The sequence below is a fragment of the Homo sapiens genome, chromosome 17, assembly GCF_000001405.40.
Source record: "Homo sapiens chromosome 17, GRCh38.p14 Primary Assembly".
Classification (NCBI taxonomy): domain Eukaryota; kingdom Metazoa; phylum Chordata; class Mammalia; order Primates; family Hominidae; genus Homo; species Homo sapiens.
This window is the reverse complement of record NC_000017.11, coordinates 17,807,859-17,809,969: the sequence shown is the minus strand read 5'-3', so window position 1 is coordinate 17,809,969 and position 2,111 is coordinate 17,807,859. Positions and strand designations below refer to the sequence as shown.

General features: G+C 58.0%; 1 protein-coding gene across 8 annotated transcripts in view, besides 1 other annotated feature; it reads right to left on the bottom strand.

Annotated features, from left to right (window-relative positions):
- The window catches only part of RAI1 (retinoic acid induced 1), a 129,996-nt gene that overhangs the window by 1,484 nt on the left and 126,401 nt on the right, over nucleotides 1-2,111 (bottom strand). For all 8 annotated transcript variants that reach the window (XM_047435151.1, XM_047435152.1, NM_030665.4 and 5 more), the window contains one exon: nucleotides 531-580. In XM_047435151.1, the coding sequence (XP_047291107.1) occupies nucleotides 531-580 (50 nt within the window). The remainder of the gene's footprint in view (nucleotides 1-530; nucleotides 581-2,111) is intronic.
- Nucleotides 879-928: a silencer, noted in NCBI's record as "silent region_8256". NCBI's record gives its function as "represses an Ori minimal core promoter by ATAC-STARR-seq in GM12878 lymphoblastoid cells {active_cell/tissue: GM12878}" and the evidence as "EXISTENCE:reporter gene assay evidence [ECO:0000049][PMID:35858748]".

The window sequence follows — 2,111 nt, the reverse complement described above, 5'->3', positions numbered from 1 at the left end:
CTGCAAAAGACGCCCGCCCGCCAGTTACCGACGACCTCGGACTTCACAGTCCATAGGCCCCGCCCCCAGTGTGGGCCCCCCGCCTAAGCCCCAGACCCAGGCGACCCCAGAGCGCGGCTGGGGTCTCCGCCCGAGGCCGTCGGCACCACCCCTTCTGGCCCCACCCCGTCCAGCTTCACCTTCACCTTCGCCTTCAGCTCCGTGCCACCGTCCCGCGCCCCCGCCTGCCCCACTCTGTCACCTATCTTGGGGAGCTGCAGGGAGGCCGTCCCAGGGACGCCCTCCAGCCCCTGGCTGCCCATGCCCCGACGCCTGCGGGTTTTCGGCGGCGGCGGCGCGCAAGTGGACAGGGACCTGAGCTGGACGGCGGCGGGGGCTCCTGGGGGTGGGCGGGGAGAGCTCCCTCCCCTAGGGCTGGGCCCTGCGGGGCTGCGCAGCCAAGGGGGCCCAGGGGACTGTGAAGGAGGTGCGAGGTGGGGCTCCTCTCCCGCTTGACACCCCTCGCCCTACAAAACACTGTGGTCCCCTACCTTATGTTTGGGACATTTCAAAGAAAAGTTCTCTTCGATGAATATGCAACCTGTGACCAAAGAGAAGTTTCGGTGGTTAGGACAGGGTGGGGGCCCCACAGCTGTGGGGTTTTGTCTGCAGCCAGGAGGGGAGCCGCACTGCCCGCGAGGCTCCAGACTGCAGGGGCTCTTTTCAAAGAGTTAATCAGATTCTGCACAAAACCCTCCACACTCCACTCCACTCCACGGCGCGGGTGCGGCCCCTGGCCTGGCAGTCTTGACTCACCTCACCTCCTCCGCGGAGAGCTTTTCCCCCTGAGTTCCACGTGCCGCCCCTCCTCACTTGAGGCAGTCCCTCAGTCCCTCCCTCCCTCCCGCCTTACTCTGCCAGCCACACTTGTCACTGCCTCCTAAGAGACTGGCCTGTGTGATCTTGTCTTGCTCCTTGTTTCTTCCCCACTGGCAGGCAAGCTCCCAGAGGGCACCAGCTCTGTCTTCTTCCCTGGATGTATGCCCAGCCCCTGGAAGAGCTCACTAACTTCCAGTGAGCATGTCATGAACCCCTGTGGACGGACTGGTAGTGGTGTTGCAAGCCTGGATTTGAGCATCTGCTACTTCTCTGAGCCTCAGTCTCCACATCTGTAAAATGGGCATTATGCCACCTACTGTATGCCTATCATGGAGATTGAGGATGGGAGTGTATAGAAACCATCTTGGCAGCAGCAGTGGCTCATGTCTGTAATCCCAGCACTTTGGGAGGATGAGGTGAATGAATCGCTTGAGCCCAGGAGTTCAAGACCAGCCTGGGCAACATGGCAAAACCTCATCTCTATCAAAAATACAAAAATTAGCCAGCATGGTGGCGCATGCCTGTAGTCCCAGCTACTCGAGAGGCTGGGGCGGGAGGATCACTTGAGCCTGGGAGGCGGAGGTTGCAGTGAGCTGTGATTGTACCACTGCACCCCTGCCTGGGCAACACAGCCAGGCCCTGTCTGAGATGAAATAAAATAAAATAAAATAAAATAAAATAAAATAAAATAAAATAATAAAATAAAATAAAATAAAATAAAATAATAAAATAAAATATAAAATAAAATAAAATTTAAAAATAAACCACCCTGCACATGTGTGGCATGCAGTGGGCGCAGGAGGCAGGGGCAGAGAGGACAACCAAGCATGGCCAGTGCTTATGCCCACCTAGGCCCAGGAGGTGTTGCTATCTCAGGGAGTCTCCACTCCCCTGCCTACTGCCACCTAGGGAGAAGCTGGCTTTTCCCCCAGGGACCCCCCAGTCTCTAGTCCCCTTCTCGGCTCCCCTCCCCCAAAGCCTCACCAGCCACTGTTCTGAACAAACCCCAGACCCAAAAGTAGCTGGAGGCTGGTGCTCTCTCCAACACAATCTTCCTGTTCACACTGGAGGTGGCTCTGTGCAATGGCATCATGACAGGGTGGTGGCCAGAAGGCAGGGCAGGGACAGCTCTGCAGCCCTGAGGGCAGGGCTGGGTGGTAGCAGGCCTCTCTGAGGCGATCTGCCCTTGTCTCCAGAAGCTGGAGTGCCACGGACCTGGAAACTGCCATTCAGGGCCAGCAGCTAGAGATGTG